The sequence below is a fragment of the Homo sapiens genome, chromosome 3 (genome assembly GCF_000001405.40).
Source record: "Homo sapiens chromosome 3, GRCh38.p14 Primary Assembly".
In the NCBI taxonomy this organism is placed as follows: domain Eukaryota; kingdom Metazoa; phylum Chordata; class Mammalia; order Primates; family Hominidae; genus Homo; species Homo sapiens.
The window spans coordinates 127,836,666-127,859,681 of NC_000003.12; the positions used below are offsets into that span (position 1 = coordinate 127,836,666).

General features: G+C 44.3%; 2 long non-coding RNA genes across 5 annotated transcripts in view; one reads left to right on the forward strand and one right to left on the reverse strand.

Moving 5' to 3' along the window:
- LOC107986129 (uncharacterized) overlaps nt 1–23,016 on the reverse strand; it is a 90,956-nt gene that overhangs the window by 4,371 nt on the left and 63,569 nt on the right. For 2 of the 3 annotated variants that reach the window (XR_001740896.2, XR_001740898.2), the window contains one exon: nt 17,404–17,570. This is a non-coding gene — a long non-coding RNA (uncharacterized LOC107986129). Of the gene's footprint in view, nt 1–16,360; nt 17,304–17,403; nt 17,571–23,016 lie in introns of those variants that run through there. The other variant, XR_007096070.1, reaches the window with a different exon arrangement.
- Nucleotides 718–22,598, forward strand: LOC105374096 (uncharacterized). Of its 2 annotated transcripts, none has more exons than XR_001740899.2 (2): nt 718–904; nt 21,877–22,598. It is a non-coding gene; the product is annotated as an uncharacterized LOC105374096 (long non-coding RNA). The 2 variants fall into 2 exon arrangements; XR_924461.2 differs by lacking the exon at nt 718–904 and adding an exon at nt 19,137–19,387.

Below are 23,016 nucleotides of genomic sequence, written 5' to 3' on the forward strand. Positions count from 1 at the left end.
CCTAGGGCTGGCCCAGGGCCTGAGAAGGCCGACAGGACTCCCTCTCACATGGACTGCTGAGCAGAGCACTGTGAACTGAGGGTACAGGCAGCGCTCCCCCATTCTAATGTGTGTGCCAGGAGAGGTGGCCAGGTGCTCCTGCTGAGGGAGGCCTGCTGCATGTCCTAAACCCTGAGCTATTGTTTCTGGGCCTGGTCTTGCAGTCCTGTTTACTCTATGAGCTACACAAAAGGCCTACAACAAAGTCCCTTTTGGCTTAAGTTAGCCAGCTTTGGTTCCGTCACTTAACCTATTGACTTAGCCGTTGTGAAAGTTCCTGGCAGGTAGAAAGATGGCGGGAGGCAGTGGACAATGTTAGTGGAGGGGCCTGCCGAAGAGGTGTCTGGGAGAAGAGAAGGCCTGAACTGTGAATTGAATAAAACTAAGGGACCTTTTTGGACCAGCAAAAACAAGGCTCAGCAGCAGGAAGAAGGGGAAATAGGGATTCCATAAGCCAAGCAGTTGGCACATTGAAGTCCCTAAGGGGGCAAGGGATGTCAAAGAAACAGGACAAGATGTTGCTCTGTACTTGAGGATTTGGAAACTGAAAAAATGAGAAACCGAAAGAGGAAAACATCCAAGGACTCAGTCAGGACTCCACCAATGGTCACAGCAAAACAGTACTTTACAGGCACCCCTTAAAAGTGAAACAAAAATTGTTTCCAGGACACTCTGGACAACAGAAGTCAGTATTCATTTACCGTTTCGTTCATTCATTCAGCTTCTATGCATCTGCTAAGCACCTGCCATAGGCTGGACATCGAGCTAGATGCGGAGATCACACCACCGTCTCTCCCCACACATTATTTGTCATCCAACAAGGAAGAGGGATGAGAAGACAAGATCATCACAGCCAGAGAAGCAGGTGAGTGGGTGTGGAGGGGACACAAAGGTAAAGCAATGGTTCCCACAGGAAGCCAAGTGGTGGGAGCATCCAGCTCCAACAGCCGGAGGAGAAGCTTGCGAGGACTCCAGGAGAGCTGCCTGCATGTGCGCAGCAACCTCGCTTTCCTTTAACTCTGGCTCTTGTCTAATTCTGGGCTTTAGTGTCAGAGAAAGGAGCATAGGGGGCCAAGTTGGGCTTTGTTCTGGTTCCTAACAGCTTGCAGGTTTGACAGCCAGGCCCCCGAGGGATATGTGCAAAACCTTCCTACCAACGTGTGGGCCCCAGACCAGCAGCATAGACCTCTCCTGGGAGCTTGTTAGAAATATAGAATTCAGGCCGCATCCAAGACCCACTATATCACAGTCTGCATTTTAACAAGGTTCCCGGTGACCTGTAAGCAGGTTAACAATTGAGAGCAACAGTGTGATAATTGATGCTAGTGAAAAAGTGCTTTACCAGTTAAACCCTTAGCGAAGTACTGAGATATTCATTTAAGGGTAGGTTATTTGGAAAGACTCAGGTCAGGAACTGGGGGCAATGGTGCAGGGGTTGGGGAGGGCAAGAAGACTGAGTAGGACAGGTTCCTTTGGGTTGGATATACCATAGAGTTACCTGATAAAATACAGAATGCTCAGTTAAATGTGAATTTCAAATATGCAATCAATAACCTTTTAGTATAAGTGTGTCCCAAATGTTGCATAGGGCATACTTATTATTACTATTATTTTTTTGAGACAGAATCTTGCTCTGCTGACCAGGCTGTAGTGCAGTGGTACGATCTCGGCTCACTGCAGCCTCCACCTCCTGGGTCCCAGCGATTGTGCTGCCTCAGCCTCCCAAGTAGCTGGGATTACAGGTGTGTGCCACCACGCCTGGCTAATTTTTGTATTTTTAGTAGAGACAGGGTTTCACCATGTTGGCCAGGCTGGTCTCAAACTCCTGACCTCAGGAGATCTGCCCACCTCAGCCTCCCAAAGTGCTGGGATTACAGGCACGAGCCACCACGCCCAGACAGACATACTTATACTAAAAAAGTTACTCATTATTTTTCTGAAATTCACATTTAACTGAGGATCCTGGCAACCTTAGTTTACCAGGATGTAGTTGTTATCTCACAACATTTAAAAGGGCTTGAAGCTATTAAAATAAAGGGATTAATGAAGAATAACTGAAAGAATTGAATGGATGATTTAAATTTAGGCATGCCAAGCAAATTAACTTGGGGACATGTGTATAATTTTTTCCAATATTTTCAATGTGGATATGAATCTAGTTGAATCACTAATATCTCCCCACAAAAGAGTAACAACCAGAGGTGGCAAGTGGTTAAGTAAATGGTATTGGAAAAATAAAGCCAAATCTCTACCTAACACCATATGGATTAAAGACCTAAAAGTGAAAGATAAACTTGAAAAGTTAATAGAGGAGAATGTAGGAGAATATCTTAGTTACTCAGGTGAAGGGAAGAACTTCTTAAATTAAAATTTAAAAACACTTACCATCCAGCAATCTCATCCCTGGGTGTATGTCCTAGATAATTTAAATCCAAAGGTATGTCAAAGAGATATCTGCATTCTTGTCTTCATTTCAGCATTATTTACAATAGCCGAAAAATGGAAGCAACCTAAGTACCCATCAGCGAATGAATGGATAAGGAAAATGTGGTATGTACATACACACAATGGAGTACTATACAGCCTTAAAAAGGAAGGAAATCTTGTCATGTGTGACAACGTGGATGGAACTGAAGGATATTGCACTAAATGAAATAAGCCAGACACAGGAAGACAAATACTATATAATCTCCCTTATTTGTGGAATCTAAATAAGTCGATCTCATAGAAACCGAGAGCAGAATGGTGGTTGCCAGGGGATGGGGAGAGGGAGTAATAGGGAAAGGGAAGATGTTGATCAGAGGGTACAAAGTTTCAGTTAGGCTGGAGGAATACGTTTTAGTGATCTATTGCACTGCACAGTGACCATAGTTAGTAGTAATGCATTGTATATTTCAAATTTCCTAAAAAACAGATTTTTATCATCAAAAAAAATAAGTTGGTGAGGTGATAGATATATTAAGTAGTTTGACTTAATCTTTCTAAAGTGTGTACATAGATCAAAACATCACATTGTGCCCCATAAATAACACAATTATTGGCTGGGCATGGTGGTGCACGCCTGTAATCCCAGCACTTTGGGTAGCTGAGGCGGGCTAATCACTTGAAGTCAGGAGTTCAAGAGGAGCCTGGGCAACATGGTGAAACCCTGTGTCTACTAAAAATACAAAAACTAAATGGGTATGGTGGCACGCACCTATAGTCCCAGCTACTCAGGAGGCTAAGGCAGGAGAATCGCTGGAACCCAGGAGGCGGAGGCTGCAGTGAGCTGAGATTGCACCACTGCACTCCAGCCTGGGTGACAGAACAAGACTCCATCTCAAAAAAACAAAACACGCAATTATTATTTGTCAGTTAAAAATAAATTTAAAACAAATTTAAAAACAAAACCATAAGGCAAATAAACAAATTTGGTTACATAAAAATCAAGAATGTCCTTTCTACAAAGGACACCATGGGCATGGGAGAAGACAAAGAAGAGGTGAAAATATTTGCCAAATACAAATGGAAATTGATTTGTAAAGTGTATAAGGAACACTTGAAAATCAACAAGAAGGAAGAACAACAAGAAGGAATAATTAGAATAGCTGTCCTAACAGAAAAAAAAAAAAAGCCAAATGCAGTGGCTCACACCTGTAATCCCAGCACTTTGGGAGTACGAGGCAGGCAGATCACCTGAGGTCAGGAGTTTGAGACCAGCCTGACCAACAATGGCCAACATGGTGAAACCCCGTCTCTACTAAAAAGACAAAAATGAGCCAGGCGTGGTGGCGGGCACCTGTAATCCCAGCTACTCAGGAGGCTGAGGCAAGAGGCTGAGGCAGGAGAATCTCTTGAACATGGGAGGTGGAGGTTTCAGTGAGCTGAGATTGCACGACTGCGCTCCAGCCTAGGCAACAAAGACTCCATCTCAAAAAAAAAAAAAAGACAAAGGATATGAATAGGGAATTGACAGAAACAGAATCTCAAAAAGCCAATATGCTCATTGAAGAGAGGCTCAAAATCATTAGCAGTCAGAGAAAGGCACAGTTAAATAACACGGGCACATTGTAGCAGACTATGCTAGGCTGCACTGGATTGGGGCATGGATAGCTCGGCAGTGGGAGGGCTGGCAGGTGGGCACTGTGGGGGAGGTCCTGCCTCTCTGGGGGGTGGGCAGCCACGGCTCAGTGGAGGTCAGCGCACGCACCCCATGGCTGGGGTCTCCCTTTCCAGCTCACACAGGTCCAGAGGGTCAGCACATTCTTTGTGGTTGGATGTCCATGTGTCCTGAACGTCCATCTCCGTGGGAGTGGAAGGTATGATATGTTAGACACACCATGGAAAGTCACGCAGAATTGGAAGCAAAGGTCAGAGGTATCCAAAACAATAGGATGGATGTTATATACAGGGTGCCGGGGGACAGAGCGAAACACAGAATGAAATCTACAACACAGTCTACTTACATGTATTTAAAAACGTAGTCATCCCAAGCAAAACATATTTTATGAAAAACATGAACTATAAACAGAATAGATGGGTTGAATTTGCTTGGAAGGAGCATGGGAGAGGGATACAGAAAATGATAAGTAAAAAATAGCAACAACACTAAATAATAAAAGGATAATAAAAATTAAAGTACTAAGTAAATAGTAGACAATAAAATAGTAAGTAAATAAGAAGGAAGAAAAATAGAAATAGAATAAAAGAAGAAAACAACCATCCCTGAGCCAACCACATGAAGTGGCACAAAATTAGGAGGGTAATTGGCTCAGCCCTCTGCACCTGAAGTCCAAGAGTAAACATGTGAATATGTAAATAAGCAGCCAGGCATGGTGGTGCACACCTGTAATCCCAGTACTTTGGGAGGCCAAGGTGGGCAGATCACCTGAGGTTGGGAGTTCGAGATCAGCCTGACCAACATGGAGAAACCCCGTCTCTACTAAAAATACAAAATTAGCTGGGCATGGTGCCACATGCCTGTAATCCCAGCTACTCGGGAGGCTGAGGCAGGAGAATAGCTTGAACCCAGGAGGCAGAGGTTGTGGTGAGCCCAGATTGAGCCATTGCACTCCAGCCTCGGCAACAAGAGCAAAACTCCGTCTCAAAAAAAAAAAAAAAAAAAAAAATTAGCCAGGCATGGTGGCAGGCACCTGTAATCTCAGTTACTCCGGAGGCTGAGGCAGGAGAATTGCTTGAATCCAGCAGAGGTTGCAGTGAGCTGAGATCGCACCATTGCACTCCAGTCTGGACAACAGAGGAGACTCCATCTCCATAAATAAGTAAGCAACCACAGGGGTCTCAAGCCACTGTCCTCACACCTTTGGGGGCTTACCTTAAGGTTCTCACTTCCTAGTGCTCAGCTCTGCTCTGGAGTTCCAGCTCTGTTGCCCATGGCTGCTATTGTCATTTGCATTCCCAGTCTCTGTGCAGTTTGCATATCTATGCCTTGCTTCTACTGCTGAGAGGTGGTTCTCTCCTTGGTCCTCTCAGGCAGGCAATCCAATAACTCACAGGGTGCTGAGCCCAATAACTCACAGGGTGCTGAGCCCATTGCTCAGCCCAGCCCCACTCTCTGTGACTCCTGCATCTGTGCTGTTTGCAGTCTGGGTATTAACCAATGGGATTTGACCAGAGAAGGAGAGCACCACAAAACTCTCCCCCTTCCCTGACATTTTCCTGCCACCTTGGATGGGGAAGGCAGTATCTGAATCTGTATTTGAAGATACTCCTCAGGTGTCTCTTAGGAACTTCACAGGTTGAAAACACTGAGGCTCAAAAGTAAAGAAATAAAAATTCATAAGATATAGGTTGAACATCTCTAATCCAAAAATCCAAAATTCAAAACTTTTTGAGTTCTATCATGATGCTGCAGATTGTTGATATGGGTGGTTGAGAAAGTAACCCGTTTGCTTTCTGATGGTTCAAGGCATTCATGCTTTGCTTCATGCACAAAATTATTTTAACTATTGGCCAGACATGGTGGCTTACGCCTGTAATCCCAGCACTTTGGGAGGCCGAGGCAGACTGATCACTTGAGGCCAGGGGTTCAAGACCAGCCTGGCCAACATGGTGAAATCCCATCTCTACTAAAAATACCAAAATGAGCGGGGCATGGTGGCACGCACCTGTAGTCCCAGCTGTAGTCCCAGCTTTGCAGTGAGCCAAGATCACACCAATGCACTCCAGCCTGGGTGACAGAGACTTCCTCTCAAAAAAAAAAAAAATTCAAATATTGTATAAAATCACCTTCAGGCTATGTGTATGAAGTGTAAATGAAACATAAATGAATTTCATGTTTGAAAAATAACTAGTTAGAGGATATTAAGGGAGAGAAAATCTCCAATACAACAAAGAAGATAAAATATTTAGGAACAAACTTAACAAGAAATATGCAAAACCCGTATTAAACCCCCCTGAAAGACACAGAAAAAGATATGAACAAATGGAAAGACTTTCTTTATTCTTGGATAGGATGACAACATCAGAAAGATGCCAGTCCTCTTTCATTTATAAGTGTTAAACAATCCCAATAAAAATAGCAACAAACTCCTTTGTGGAGCTAGATAATTGATACTAAAGCTCTTATTTTAAAAATGCAAGAAGAGCCTTTAATGTCTGGTAGGCAAGAATGCCTTACCAGACATGAAAGCATACGTTTTAAACAGTGTGCTACTGGCACATAAATAGACAAACAGACTAGTGAAATAGAATAGAAAGTCTAAAAATAAACCCACCCTCATATAGAAATTTAGTATTTGATGAAGGTGGCATCTCAAATCAACTGAGACAAAGGTGGATTTTTAAACAAATAACCCCAGACAGCTGGTAAGCTTTTTGGAAAAAGGTCCATCTTCATATCTTCCTCACACATGAACAAATTTCAAATGGATCAGAGCTCTAGATATAAAAAAAGGAAACTAGGCCGGGTGTGGTGGCTCACACCTATAATCCCAGCACCTTGGGAGGCCACGGCAGGAGAAACCCTTGAGGCCAGGAGTTTGAGACCAGCCTGGGCATCATAACAAGACAAAAAACATTTAAAAATTAGCTGGGTGTGGTTATGTGCACCGGTAGTCTTAGCTACTGAGGAGGCTGAGGCAGGAGGATTGCTCGAGCCCAGGAGTTTGAGGCTGCAGTGAGCTATTATCTCACCTTTGGACTCTAGCCTGGGTGACAGAGCGAGACGCTGTCTCTCTCTTTTTTTTTTTTTTTTTTGAGATGGAGTCTCACTCTGTCACCCAGGCTGGAGTGCAATGGCGTGATCTTGGCTCACTGCAACCTCCACCTCCTGGGTTCAAGCAATTCTCCTGCCTCAGCCTCCCCAGTAGCTGGGATTACAGGTGCCCACCAGCATACCTGGCTAATTTTTTGTATTTTTAGTAGAGACGGGGTTTCACCATGTTCACCAGGCTAGTCTTGAACTCTTGACCTCAAGTGATCCGTCCGCCTCTGCCTCCCAAAGTGCTGGGATTATAGGCATCAGCCACCGCGCCCAGCCAACCCTGTCTCTTAAAAAAAAGAAGAAAAGAAAAGGAAACCAAGCAACTACTAGAAAACCATAACAAATAACTCTCCAGTCTCTCTAGACTCTCAGATGCTGGGATTTAAATAATTATTAGCAAAGCAACTTAAGGCAGAGTGTCCCCCTAAGAACAAATCCATTCTTTATGGTTTTCAAACCATCCCTGGCTCACTTAGCTGTGCAGCTTTGGACAAAACTGTGATTTCCATGACGTATTAAAGCCATATTTGTGGCAGGGATCGCCAAGCTTCTTCCCCATGGCCGTTCTGCTAGACTACATTTTCCAGACACCCTTGTAGCCTCTTGGGCTTGTGAGGCTGACTTCTGGCCAATGGAGCGTGGAGGGAAGTGCTATGTACTGTGACCAGGCCTGACCTAGAAAACCTCTCTCTCTGTGTTGTCGCTTGTCTACCAACTAGATGAAGAGTGGAGGATTCCTAGATGGTGTGGAGCTGCACAATGGAAAGAGCCTGGGTCCTTGAATGACTACAGACTACATGGAGCAGAGTAACCCCTGCCACCACCAACAATTTGCATTGGTCTGTGAAGCAAATAAGAGATAACCTCTTAGTTGGGTTAAACCAATGAGATTTGGATTTGTCTATGACGGCAGCTAGCATTACTTGCCCTGACTAATATGGTATTTGAACTATTGCTACTGCAGCAGAAAACTCTTTCAATCCTTCAGAATCTTTTAGTTTTCTTCTGCCTCAGGATATAATGTGATATATCAACACAAGAACATGCAAATTTTCAGCCGAGTAGAGGGATGTGTACCAATCCACATCTGGGCTACTGCCTGACAGTGCTGGGAGGACCATAAGAAGAGAGGTCTGGGAGGACCTGGGCATGTGACAAAGAACAAAATGCTGGAAAAGACAAAATTGTGGCACCAAAAGCAGTTCACAAAGACCAAGTTCAAAAATGTTGGAAACAACATGTAGTTCTACCTCTAAGTTAAAGCTCTCTGTGTTTATTTGGAGATGAAACCAAAACCTAGGGAGCACTGTGACAGGTGTGAAAAGGCTGCTGTATTGAAGTAGCACAACCAAGTCAGATTATGAAGAGATGGCAGCCTACATAGGAAGGGAGCCAATTAGTCAGGCAAAGCTGGTATGGAGGGTAGTAACATTTAGAATTAATTTCTCTTCTTTCATGGCCGGGCACAGTAGCTCACGTCTGTAATCCCAGCACTTTGGGATGCCGAGGCAGGCGGATCACCTGAGGTTGGGAGTTGGAGACCAGCCTGACCAACACAGAGAAACCCCGTATCTACTAAAAATACAAAATTAGGCAGGCGTGGTGGCACATGCCTGTAATCCCAGCTACTGGGGAGGCTGAGGCAGGAGAATCGCTTGAACCCAGGAGGTGGAGGCTGTGGTGAGCCGAGATCACGCCATTGTACTTCAGCCTGGGCAACAGGAGTGAAACTCTGTCTCAAAAAAAGAAGAAAAATTTCCCTTCTTTTCTTTCCTTCCTTCTTTCCCTCCCTCCTTCCTTCCTTCTTTCTTTCTTTTTTTTGAGAGCGACCCTTGCTCTGTCATCCAGGCTAGACTGCAATGGTGCGACCTTGGCTCACTGCAACCTCCGCCTCCCAAGTTCAAGTGATTCTCCTGCCTCAGCCTCCTGAGTAGCTGGGATTACAGGCACCCACCATCATGCCTGGCTAATTTTTTGTGTTCTTAGTAGAGACAGGGTTTTGCCATGTTGGTCAGGCTGGTCTTGATCTCTTGACCTCGTGATCCACCCACTTCAGCCTTCCAAAGTGTTGGCATTACAGGCGTGAGCCACTGAGCCTGGCCTATTTATATACATCTTTATTATGTATTATATCTGTATTTATTGGCTTGCTTATTGTTTAGAATGGCACTGTCTGATGTGGTAGCCACTAGCCATTGATGGCTATGAGCACCTGAAGTATGACTTGTTTGAAATGAGATGTGCTGTGTCAAATACACACTGGATTTTGAAGACTTAGCCTAAAAAAAGAATGTAAAATATCTTAATCATTTTCATATTGATTGTATGTTGAAATGAGAATGCTTTGGATATATTGGATTAACCACAATTTATTATTAAAATTAATTTCATTTGTTTCTTTTTACTTTGTTAATGTGTCTACTAGAATTTTTGTTGTTGTTGTTTTTTGAGACAGGGTCTTGCTCTGTCACCCATGCTGGAGTGCAGTGACACAATCACAGCTCACTGCAGCATGGACCTCCCAGGCTCAAGCGCTCTTCCCACCTCAGTTTCCCAAGTAGCTGGGACTATAGGCACATGCCACCACACCTGGCTAATTTTTAATTTTATAGAGATAGGGTCTTGCTATGTTGTCTAGTCCTACTAGAAAATTTTAGAATCCCATGTGGCTTGCATTTGTGATTCCCACTCTATTTCCACTGGACAGTGCTGATGTAGGATGGATGTTCCTAGAGAACAGAGACTCTGTCTGTCTTGTCCTCAGCATCTAGAAGAGCACCTGGTGCAGAGTAGAGGTTTAATAAATATCTGTTGAATGGGACTCTGTGTCTGTTGAAAACTTGGCAGTATGCACTCTCTCTCCTCTTCTCTCTCTCTCTCTCTCCGTATGTAACAACAGTATCATTGTATCAATGATATCCTTGTCCCCTGATATCACTGTTACATAAGAAACTGACAGCCTTCCTTGTCTGCTTACTTAAGACTGTCCTGATTTAGTCCCTTTTGAAAAACATATCTTTGCCACTATCTTCTGAAAATAACCTTAATTTTTTTTTTTTAGATGGAGTCTCGCTCTGTCACCCAGGCTGCAGTGCAGTGGCACGATCTTGGCTCACTGCGACCTCCGCCTCCTGGGTTCAAGCAATTCTCTGCCTCAGCCTGCCGAGTAGCTGGGATTACATGCGCCTGCCACCACGCCTGGCTAATTTTTGTATTTTTAGTAGAGACAGGGTTTCACCATCTTGGCCAGGCTGGTCTTGAACTCCTGATCTCGTGATCCACCAGCCTTGGCCTCCCAAAGTGCTGGGATTACAGGCGTGAGCCACCGCACCCAGCCAATCTTAATTTTTGTCCAAAGTATTTAAGGCATTCAAAATGATCCATCTTATGGACAAATTAGTTAATCTAATTAACCTGAGGGGGTGCTTGAAAGAAATCAGGGAAACAAAACAAAAATCTTGAACCATAAGGGGAGACAGCATGTGTTGATGGCAAGAGCAGAGGCCTGGGGGTCAGCCTGGTGCCACATGCTTGACAGAGGGAAGGAGGAGGAGTGAAGACAGCAGGGCGACAAGCACTCAAAACAAGCCTTGCTTTTCCAATAGCCCAGGCATGGCCCACTCAAGTGATCACCTGAGGCAGCAAAGGCATCTACACAAGAAGACACAATCATGCATTCACTCTGCAGATCCATCCAGTGCCTCCCACGTGCCAGGTGTTGGGGATACAGCGAGAATGAACAGGCGCCCACTCTTATTGAAGCTTATGTATTAGCTCAAGGAGACAGAAAATTAAGCAAAAAGCACATAAATGGATAATATAGGCATTCTATGGACTTTAGTAATGCATGCCCAGAGAAGGGAATCCGTGTTCTCAGTTAATTTTTAAAATCCTCAGTTAGAGGGATGAGCTAGACAGTGGATTTTTTTCTGAGAATAATTTCAGGATATTTACAAATTAAGGATATTTAAGATAAATCTCCATAAAAATAAAATCCATGCTCAACATGAGAACAGAGAGGCCATCTACAGGAGTGTTTAAAATGGGGCAGATTCAGTCCCAGAGGGTTTCCAGATGAGTTCTGAGACACATCCAGCAGCGTGCCATGGGCATGGAAGGGTTCTAAGACTTGCATACAAGTTGTGTCAAAACCTAGAAAATGCTAGAATTATATTTCTAGACAGGGAAAATTAATTTTGAATAACAATATTAGTGTTAGTACAAAATTAGTATAAAATGCACCTGCAGACTTGCTGGAGTTGGTGTGATATCTGACACAGAATCAAAGCAAAGCATGACACTCACTGGATCAGAACACTCTAGCCTCAGAAGCCCTTGAACTCTCCAGCGTTCCAGGGCAGGAAATAGCGCTCATCTCTTTGTTAGCTGTGAGCACGCCTGAGCATTTTCTGGAAACTGCTAGTACTGCAGTCCAGATTGCCTGCTCTGAGCTGAAAGAAGACAGAGAGAGACTGAGAAAAGCCTTTGATTTAAAATCCTGCAGTCGCTGCAATACCAGAGCGGGTGGGTCTATGGCAGGATTGTTTTGTTAAGGAGACCTGACAAATCTGCAAAGCAGGTTTTCACGCAATGTATAATGAATCCCCTGGCTTATGTATTATGTAATAGTAGATTTGTGCTCGTTGAGTTTCTGTAGGAGGAATGGGTGTGCTATTCACAAGTGTTGTCTTAGCAAAGAAGGAAACACTTTTTAAAAGAATGAGGATCTGTATGGGTACACATGTAATTATATCATCTGTGTTCATTCATCCAGTCACCAAAGATTTCCTAGTGCCTTTTACAAAGTTAGTGCTGGGGATTCAAACCTGCAGGAAATTAGGTCCCTGATTCTAAGGAAACTTCAGTCTAGTTTGAGAGATCAACACAGCAGCGAATAATTAGGGCACCACAGGGTAAATGCTAAGAGAGCTACAGACAGTTTCATATAGGCTCAAAGAGGAGGAAGTAATGAATCCTGCCTGGCAAGGGATAGGAGGTAGGGAAGGCTCCAGGAGGAGTGGGTATCTGGGTGGAGCGTGGAAGGTTGAGCAGGAGTTTACCAGGCAGAGGAAGAGAGGGGAAGAGAGGAAATGGCCTATGCAAGGCTCATCAGCAAAAGCATGTGTGGAGGTGCCAGCTGTGCTTAGAATGGCAGTGTAAGTGGACTAGGACAGTTGGGAGAAGATGAAGTTGATTTGGCCTGGGGTATTAGTTTGGACATGGGTTCAGCTGTCCTAAACAATGTTCCCAAATCAGAGTGGCTTTAGAAAGAAAGATGTGTATTTCTCTTACATAATAGTATGGGCATGAGCAGTTCAGGGCTGGTAAGAGGCTTTTCAGCGAGAAACCCCAGCTCCTTCAGCCATCCCAGGACACGGCCCCATCCACATGGTCCCATGTGGGGCTCACTCACCCTTGCACATCTGTGTTCCACCCAGCCATGTCCCTAGTCACAAGGCATTCCCTATTCACCTCCACCATTGCTATATTTACAATACAGTCTTCACCTCGTCCACCTTCTATGCTCCAGATGAAAGGGGGAGAGGGAGGACAGGCCTCTTTCCTCTAAGGATGTAGCTGGGAATTGTACATGTGGCTCACATGGTGTGCCGACATGATGGAGCCTGGCTATAAGGAAGGCTGGGAAATGTAGTTCTTATTCTGGGCAGCCATATGGGCAGCCATCTGCCCAGCTAAAAATGGGAGGTCCTATTTCCATGTGAAAGAAAGGGAGCTGGGATGCCAAGAGGCCATGAGCAGCCCCGCCTTTTCGTGCCTTTGAGTGCTCTATTAGTGATCTCTAGAATGCCTTTGGGAAAGCCAACATAACGTGCTTCAATTTTCTGCTTTATTTATTCTGACATGCTGACTTGTTAGTGACAGTCTGATTTCTCAAAACTAGAATTTTCAGGATTTAAGAGGTTACTCGATGTCAGCAAGTAATAAATGAGCGCTGACCCAAACATCTGCTTTGGAAACAGGAGCTCTGACATGGTTTTAAAGACACTTTCCACCATGTCTGGCCAGTGGAGGTTTTTAGAGTCCCAGGGTATTCCCATTGCCAAAGTTTACAGAAACAAGTCAGGCACCATTTCCACTGCCCCAGACTAAGGAGATGGGAACAGACTTCTCGTTAGGGTAGGGCAGGGAAATGACACAGATCATGCGTCTGACTCCCAGTATACCTCTTAGGGTGCCACCTAATCTTTCTCAGCATCAACTACCTCATCTGTAAAATGGGGATAAGGATGACTCTCAGGTTGACAGAATTAAGTGAGATATTATATGTGACCTGTAGAGAAAGTCCAACAGACTTTGGGAGGCTGAGGCGGGCGGATCACAAGGTCGGGGATCGAGACCATCCTGGCTAGCATGGTGAAACCCCATCTCCACTGAAAATACAAAAAATTAGCTGGGCGTGGTGGTGGGTGCCTGTAGCCCCAGCTACTCGGGAGGCTGAGGCAGGAGAATGGTGTGAACCTGGGAGGCAGAGCTTGCACTGAGCCAAGATCGCACCACTGCACTCAAGCCTGGGTGGCAGAGCGAGATTCCATCTCCAAAAAAAAAAAAAAGAGAAAGCCCAACAGATATTTGCTTTTCTTCTATTTTGACTGTCAGTTACTATGTGCACAGCACTTGGATAGAAACTACAATGCAAGAAAGGATTTAAAAGCCTGGTTTCTTGCAAAGAGGGAGGGCTCTTTGCATCTCTACCTCTACTGATACCTTAATGAAGTGATCAATCCTATTTCTTTTTTTTTTTTTTTTTTGAGACGGAGTCTTGGTCTGTCGCCCAGGCTGGAGTACATTGGCGTGATCTCAGCTCACTGCAACCTCCGCCTCCCAGGTTCAAGTGATTCTCTTGCCTCAGCCTCCTGACTAGATAGGATTACAGACGTGTGCCACCCCACCCGACTAATTTTTGTATTTTTAGTAAAGACAGGGTTTCACTATATTGGCCGGGCTGGTCTCGAACTCCTGACCTCAAGTGATCTGCCTGCCTCGGCCTCCCAAAGTGCTGGGATTACAGGTGTGAGCCAACGTGCCCAGCCAGAGCAATCCTAATTTGGGCAATAAAGGAGCAAAGAGGCATCATGTCCCACCTGTTGAGTTACACTGGGGGCAGAGGATCACTTCTCTGGTATTCTTTTCAAGAACCCAAATTTAATCACAAATAAGCTTCAGGAAAACTCAAATCCAGGACATTCTGGAAATCAACTAGCCTGGGCTCTAAAAATATTAATGTCACAAAACACATACACAGGTGCACATAAATGAAGGGGAACTATTCTAGCTTAAAGGAGATGAAGAAGCACAGCAAATGAAAGCCATCTTTGATTAGGTTATTGATCAAATAAATCTGTAAAGAATGCTGTTGGTACAATTGGGGAAATTTGAATATAAACTATATATTAAGCAATGCTGTGTATCAATAATGTTAAATTTGCTGAGTTTTGTGCAGGAGAATATCTCTTAAGAAATACATGTTGATGTATTTACAGGTAGAATATGATGACTGAAATTTAATTTCAAATGATGTTTTAAAATGTATATGTGTGTATGTGTGTGTATATGAAGAGAGAAAATTCTAAAACAAAATGTGATAGAATGTTAACAGTTGGTGAATTGACAGGTTATATCGTTTTTCATTGTATTATTCTTTTAACATTTGGGGTGTATTTGAAGTTTGTTAAAATAAAAGTTGTAGGAGAAAAAGATGATATGATGAAGGGAAAGAGTTTGAGTTTTCTGTAAGACGGTTAACTAGAGGCTATATATTCAAGAGGGCCTCTGGTCTGGCTGACCTATTGCTTCTTCCAGGACAGTGTAGAAAATAAAACATTTAGTTGCATATCCACATTTAAAAAAGAAAAAAGCAAGGGTCCCTTGCTCACTCAGGCCCAGGACTGTGGATGGGCCTTGGATGAAGCCAGGTGAAAAAGGGCTGTCAGCTTCACCCGCCCTTAGAGACAGCATCAGCTTTATCACTGGTGACAACGTGCAAAGGAAAGTTCAAAAGCTGAGGCAGAAAAGTAAGGGGGCAGCTGTCTTATAAAATACAGTAATACAAATACAGACACACAGCAGCCATAGAGCTGCTGATGACCAGGCTGGGCCTGCCGGCAGATGCTCGAGATTCACAGGTGGGCCTCGGGCTGCTCGAGGAGGGAGGAGCCGGCAGAGCCAAGGAACACAGAGGCCTCACAGGGGGTTAATCACTCCCTCCACCTGCCATATGGCCAGGGAAATCATCCACTCTCACGGAGCTGGATGGGAGCGGAAGCTGCTCCTGAACTTAATCAGAGGAGGGCTTTTGATTTCAGCATTAAACCGAAGGTGCTGGTAACATGGACTTGCCTGACCTGGTGACAGTGAGCCAACATGACCCAGAAGAGGACTCCGTTAAATATGTATATTAAGAGAACACAGATAAAAGCTTCCTGCTTTTATCTGGAGGACAGTGGGTGGTCAAAGAATTTTTCATTAAAAATATTTTTTTAGAATTTCCAGAATGTGACATATGTCCTAAGGGCAGTGCAGTGGAAACAGTTTCCCTAGATTCAAGGATGAGGAGGCATTGACAATGGAGACATTTTATATATATATATGTAAACATACACACACATATATACTCACATTATGTATGTATTTCACATTTATATATAGAATAAATGTATACTTAAGAAAATATATAAAATCAATATGTAATAAAACATGCTACATTTTCAGTGTGTATGTGCACACTTTGAGTTAGCGCATGTTTATTACTTACCTTTTAATCAAGAATGCATGCTAATGGAAGTTAATTCAGAGAACTCCCAGTTACAAGGTTGGCCCCCAGTGCTGGCAGATTCAGCTACATACATTCCTTGTAAGTGTGGAATCACGTAAGCACTCTCTGAACTCCTATTTCCAACCTGTCAATGGTCTGCACACAACACGTTCCTGCTTTTAAGCAGTAGATTCAAAATAAACAATGCTAACAGTGATTCTGCAGGGGAAGAAACAGAACTTGAATTACTTCAGTTCTGTTATTCTTTTATAGGTAACTTGAAGTTTTTATTTCTGTTTAAAATTTTTATTTATTTATTTATTTATTTGAGCTGGAGTCTCACTCTGTCACCCAGGCTGGAGTGCAGTGGTGCGATCTCAGCTCATTGCAACCTCTGCCTCCCCGGTTCAAGCGATTCTTCTCCTCAGCCTCCCAAGTAGCTGGGACTACAGATATGTGCCACCACGCCTGGCTAATTTTTGTATTTTTCATAGAGACGGGGTTTCACCATGTTGGCCAGGCTAGTCTCAAACTCCTGGCCTCAGGTGATCCGCCCAGCTATTTCTGTTTAAAATGTAAAACAATGAAACAGTGTGTGAACTGCAGTAAAATAATCCCCTTTAAAAATTATGATTAAAAAAATTAATCCATGACTTTTTACCTTTTTTTAACATATGTGCCAGCATGATTACATATACAAAGTTCAATAAAAAAATTTTCACTATCTACAGCAGTTCTTTTCTGGACATTATTATTATTCCTTTTGTTTAATGATCATTATTGAAAAGAATTCTGTTGTATGGAGGAAGGAAGCATTAAAAACCAATTCTTGACCAGGGGCAGTGGCTCATGCCAGTAATCCCCGCACTTTGGAAGGCCGAGGCAGGCGGTCCTGAAGTCGGTAGTTTCAGACCAGCCTGATCAACATAGAGAAACCCCATCTTTACTAAAAGTAGAAAATCAGCCAGGTGTGGTGGTGGGTTCCTGTAATCCCACCTACTCGGGTGGCTGAGGCAGGAGAATCACTTGAACCCGGGAGGTAGAGGTTGTGGTGAGCCGAGATCGAGCCACTGCACTCCGGCTTGGGCAACAAGAGCGAAACTCAGTGTCAAAAAGAGAAACAAAAAACAAAAACAAACCAACTGTCTGTAAGTGAATCACATGGTAGGTCCGCCAGGTGGAGACAGCAGATTGAGCAGTCTAGTCTGCTCCTTCCATGGCCCCTCGCTGGTGATGATAGAAGACTTGCTTTAAAGGAGAGGAAGCACGGCAGCACAGTCCTGGAAGCTGGAACGCAGAGGGAGCATGGAAATGACACACCTGGCAGCCCCAGGAAGACCAAGCCCTGAGCTGGCAATGGAGAAAGATGAAGCTCAGCCAGACTTACCCCACAGAATCCCCGGAAAGCCCAGGACTTCAAGGCACTCGATGTCTCTGGCAGTAGAGGTGACAAGGATGGTGACCTGGAGGCTGCAGGAAGGTTTGTTTAAGGAGAGGTCCAACACTCAGGCCCGCTCCCCACTCTGCATTTTTGGTGATTGTTCTTCTCCCAACCTAGCAGAAGACGAGAGATTTATTTTGGGGAGAGGATAAAAAGTGAGTCTTTTGCACCGGGAGCAGCAGCAGCACAGCTGAGGTCAGCGTTGTCATCCCAACACATCTAAGTAAAAGATTATATGTATTTTGGATGCTGAAGTCTCTAGCCATCTTTCCTAATCAGTTTTTGGACGTTTTCACCCTGAGGCCACAAACTGGAGGATCTTTCTGGATGGAATTTGAGGGATAGCACAGGGACTACCCCAGTGAGATGACCCAGCACAGCACGCTCCTGCCAAGCTCCAGGTTGGCAGGCCAGTCACGCCTGCAGTTTCCAATACGTGTGTTAGTATCCCACTCCTGGGTGTGTGGAGACGATGAGAGGAAAATCTCTAACACGAAAGGTGGGACTAGAATGGAGACGGATGTGGCCCAGGATATAGACAAACAGAGAATGGCAATTTGGAGAAGAGCTTTTCACAGGAAGCATTTTTTTTTTTAGAAAAGTCATTAATATCCCCAGGAAGATAAAAAAAGATATTGCAACCATGAAACACAGCAGAATGTAATAGAAATAAACATCAAGAGAACCAAAAAGAATTCTTGGGAATTAAAATCATGATTGCTGGAATGAAAAGCTCAAAAGAAGCTTTAGAAGATAAAAGGGCAGAAGGTAGACAGAAAGAGAAAGAGTTGGAAAATAAAGGAGAAAAGTTCAGAACCTGAAAGGACTGGTCCATGAGTCTCAGTATCCAAATAATAAGAGTTTCAGAAAAAGAGAACAGAGGAAGCCCAAAGATGGATGGGGACAGAGGGGGAGGAATCTGGCAACTAGAAGATGAGTGTCCACATTGAAAGGGCCCACCAAGTGCCCCACCAAGGCACATCATCATGCAACCTTAGGACGCTGGAGACAGACGCCCCACAAGAATGCGGAGACAGAGAAAGAGAAGATCAAGAACCAGAATGACAGAATGCATTTGTGTTCATTTCCCATTGCTGCTATTAAAAAAGAACTACACATTTTGTGGCTTAAAACAACGTGAGTTTATAAATTCTGGAGGTCAGAAATCCAAAATGAGTTTCACAAGGCTAAAAATCCAGGTGTTGGCTGTTCAGTGCCCCTTTCTGGAGGATCCAGGGGAAAATCTGTTTCTTGCCTTTTCTAGCTTCTACTGGCCACCAGCATTGGTTGGCTCATGGCCCCTCCCTCCATCTTCAGAGCCAGCAGGTTAACATTGTCATGTCTCTCTCCCTCTCCCCACCCTAGCCCTGGCTTCCATCCTCACACCTCCTTCTCTGACCCTCCTGCTTCTCTTATTAGGATCCTTGTGATCACATTGGGCTACCCAGATAGTCCAGAATAATCTCCCAATTCTGAAATCCTTAACTTAGTCCCATTTGCTAAGTCTCTTTTGTCATGTAAAGTAACATGATCACAGGTTCCAGAGATTATGACATAGGTATCTGTCTTAGTGACAAAGGAATACCTGAGCTGGGAAACTGGTAAAGGAAAGAGGTATATTTGGCTCATGGTTCTGCATTCTGCACAGGAAGCACGGTGCCAGCATCTGCTCCTGGGGAGGCCTTGGGAGCTTCCACTCATGGCAGAGGTGAAGGGGAGCCTGCTTGTGCAGAGGTCACACAGTGACAGAGGGAATGAGAGAGAGGGGGAAGGTGCCAAGGCCTTCTAAAGAGCAATGGTAGAACTCAGCTGGCAAAGGAGCAGTAACATGCCCTCCATTCCGCCTGAAAACCACCTCCTGCCCACATGACCTCTCTCCTCAGCCAAGCTACCAACCAAGGGCAAGAGTAAAATAAAGACACCTGCAGATGTAAGTTCTCCAAATATTTACATCCCACACATTCTATCTCAAGAAACTCCTGAAGGATGTTCTCAAACAAAATGAAAGACTAAATCAAGTGAGAAGACAATATGGGGGATACAGGAAATAGTAGGTCCAATGTAGAGAGATGCAAACGACATCATCAAGATGACGTTGAAGAGATTCTAGAAGAAAAGCTGTGATGCCATCCAGTGGCATCCAGTGCGGTGGTTCAGGAGATTCCAGAAGAGACTTCCTTTGGAAGGTGAACTGATGGTTGTCTGGTGCATGTGACCTCATTGTCAAGAAACAAAGCCAGTGGGTCAAGGATTTGGGATCAAATTGATATAAGAAATCTAACTGAGCCCACGAATAAGCTTGTCGGCAGAGGGGGCGGTCTGTTGGAGGCTGTTTAGACTCAGAGTAACGGTTTGTTCATTCATTTGGTCATCAAATGTCAGGTGCCTAGTATGTACCACGTGCTGTGTGAGGTCTGGAACTTTCTTTTTTTTTAACTTTTATTTTAGGTTCACAGGTACATGTGCAAATTTGTTACATAGGTAAATTGCATCATAAGGGTTTGGCATACAGATTATTTGATCACCCAGGCAATAGGCATGGTACCCATACCATAGGTATTTTTTCTGATCCTCCCCCTCCTCCCAGCCTCCACCTTCAAGTAGGTCCCGGTGTCTGTTGTTCCCCTCTTTGTGTCCATGTGTTCTCATTGTTTAGCAACCACTTATAAGTGACAACCTGTGGTAGGTACTTGGTTTCCTGTTAGGTTAGGAACTTTCTTAGCAAACCTAGGGCGTTTGGGTAGAGGATCCCAAGTGGATGAAGGCCTAGAGTTATATGATGGCTCCATGGGGTCAGCAACTGGTAAGTGAAGGCTGGCTGAGGCAGGAAGGCTGTTGGAAAGCACTGAGAGACAAAGGGGTCAGGGCTGGGGCCCAGGAAGTGAGGAGTTGCTGAGCAGAGCAGCCATGTGGCATGGTCTCTGTTAGAAAATGAGTGACATGGGTGGAAGAGAACGATATAGTCCTTTTTGCTGGTGCTGTCTGTCTCAGAAGGAAATCATTTCCCACCACAGATGTTGGGGGCAGATGCTTTGTTTTGCTGTATGAGGTAGACAATCTAATCTTTTGATTTGTTTCCTAAAGCAAATTTTAAAAATCAAAGTATAGCATACATACAAAACATTCACAAATGGGGCAGGCCAGTGAATTCTCACACAGTGAGTTCACCTCCACAACCAGCATCCAAACCAGAAAATAGAACAGGAACACTCCTGAGCTCGGTTCTCACTCAGCAAAAGCCTGCTCTGAAGGGCAGGCTGTTTCAGAAGGGGCAGGAGATAGACTTGCCCCTCTGGTGGGGTGGTGGAGATTGGATTTTAGATTCTCAGCAACTGGGTTCAAAGCTCATCTGTGCCACCTTCAGGAGACAGACTGCTGCACGTGGCAGATTCCATTTGAAACAGGGTTGATAAGGCCTTCCTCACCCATTAGCCATGAGCATCACATGACTTAAAGTGAACAGAAACGATCCACGTACAGTCAGCGCTTAACTCTGTGCTGCAGACTTGCTTTAGATTTGATAGTGATGCTGGAAGGCTTCAAGAGAGGCCTCTAGATGCAAACTTTCTGCCATTTTCCAGGTCCACGAGAGAGCCTTGTTAATGGACTCTGCAACCTTCCAGAGGACCCTAAGTCTCAGAGCTTTCCCAAGCCTGACCAGCCATCCTGGTACCTGCTGTCTAAGCAGCACCTCATATACCTCAGCTTATCTGTCACCTCTCTGGAGGGCAATTTGGCAGTGTCTAACAAAATTTAAAATTGGTATGCTCCTTGAATCAGAAATCATCGTTTTAGGCCGGGCGCAGTGGCTCATGCCTGCAGTCCCAGCACTTTGGGAGGCCGAGGCAGGTGAATCACCTGAGGTCAGGAGTTTAAGACCAACTTGGCCAACATGGCAAAACCTTACCTCTACTAAAAATACAAAAATTAGCTGGGCGTGATGGTGCACACCTGTAATCCCAGCTACTGGGGAGACTGAGGCACCAGAATCACTTGAACCCTGGAGGCGGAGGTTGCAGTGAGCCAAGATCATGCCACTGTACTCCAACCTGGGCGACAGAGTGAGACTCCATCTCAAGAAATAAAAAATAAAAATAAAAAAAGAAATTGTGTTTTAGAAATCAGTCCTAAAGAGGTATTTAGTCACGTGCACAAAGACTTTGTTGCTACATTTCTTGAATGTCCGAGAAAACTTTGTCTTCTAGTGGTCAAATAAATTATGGTAGAAATACACCATGGAGTGTTCAGAAGCCCTTAAAAAGGAAATAAGGGAATCCAGCACTTTGCCTGTAAAGAGCCAGATAGTAAGCATCTACAATACTAAACAAACAAACCTGTATTGTTTTCTGCACTGCATAACACATCACCACAAACACAGTGACTTAAAACAACATGATTTCTTTTCTCTCCACCCTACAGGTCAGAAAGCTGGCAGAGCATGGCTGGATTCTCTGCTCGAGGTCTCACATGCCCAAAATCAAGGTATTGGCCGGCTGGGCTCTTGTGTGGAGGCTCTGGGGAAGAACCATTCAGGCTGTGGACAGAAGACAGCTCCTTGTGGCTATAGGACTGAGAGCCCTGCTTCCCGCCACCGGCCCTTCAAGCACAAGCCCTCCAGGCCTCAAATCTCTCTGCCTTCCTCTTCTGCTTGTAAAGGCGCATGTGATTTCACTGGACCCACTTTCAAAACCCAGGATAACTTCCCTATTTTAAAGTCCATTTACCTTAATTAATCTGCACAGCCACTTTGCCATGTAAAGTAACATATTCGTGGGCATGAAACCAGGGGGTGAAGGTCATGTGGCTTTGAGAGCAGCACTCTCGGTGACACATACTCAATTCTGCTCCTCCAGTGCAAAAGCAGCCACTGACAATATGCAAAGGAATACATGCAGCCACAACATGGAAGAAATACGTGCATCAACAACACATAGCAGCGTGTGTATGTATGTGCGTAAAGGCCTTGGAACACAGCTGAAGAATACTTTTCAAATCCTTCACTGTTATTTCCTCTAGGGAAGAGAGTGGAGGCCGAGGCTGGGAATCCAGGAGCTGTTCCCATTTTATTCTGCATACTTCCCTATCTTCTGATGACTTCACAATGTAACCATTAAGAAAAATAAAAATTGCTCATGCATTTACATATATAAATATTAATATATGTAAAGAAAACCTTAACCAATAATGATGATTATATCTGGGGAGGAGGGAGTGTAAGGAACTTGCTTTCTAAATTACATATTCCTGCGATCTTTGCTTTTTTGTTACAATGAGTCTCTATTGTTGTGAATAGAAAAATATGTATACTTTTCATTGTACTGATGTCGATGAAGGATTTATGTAAAAAGCCAGATACTAAATATCTCCAAAGTTCATCCATTCTGGACTAATGCTCATGTTACAACTTTAAGTTAAAAGTGCAAGAGGCAGGCGGATCCTTTGAGGTCAGGAGTTTGAGACCAGCCTGGCCAACATGGTGAAGCCCCATCTCTACTACAAAAATTAGCCAGGTGTGGAGGCGGGTGCCTGTAATCCCAGCTACTCAGGAGGCTGAGGCAG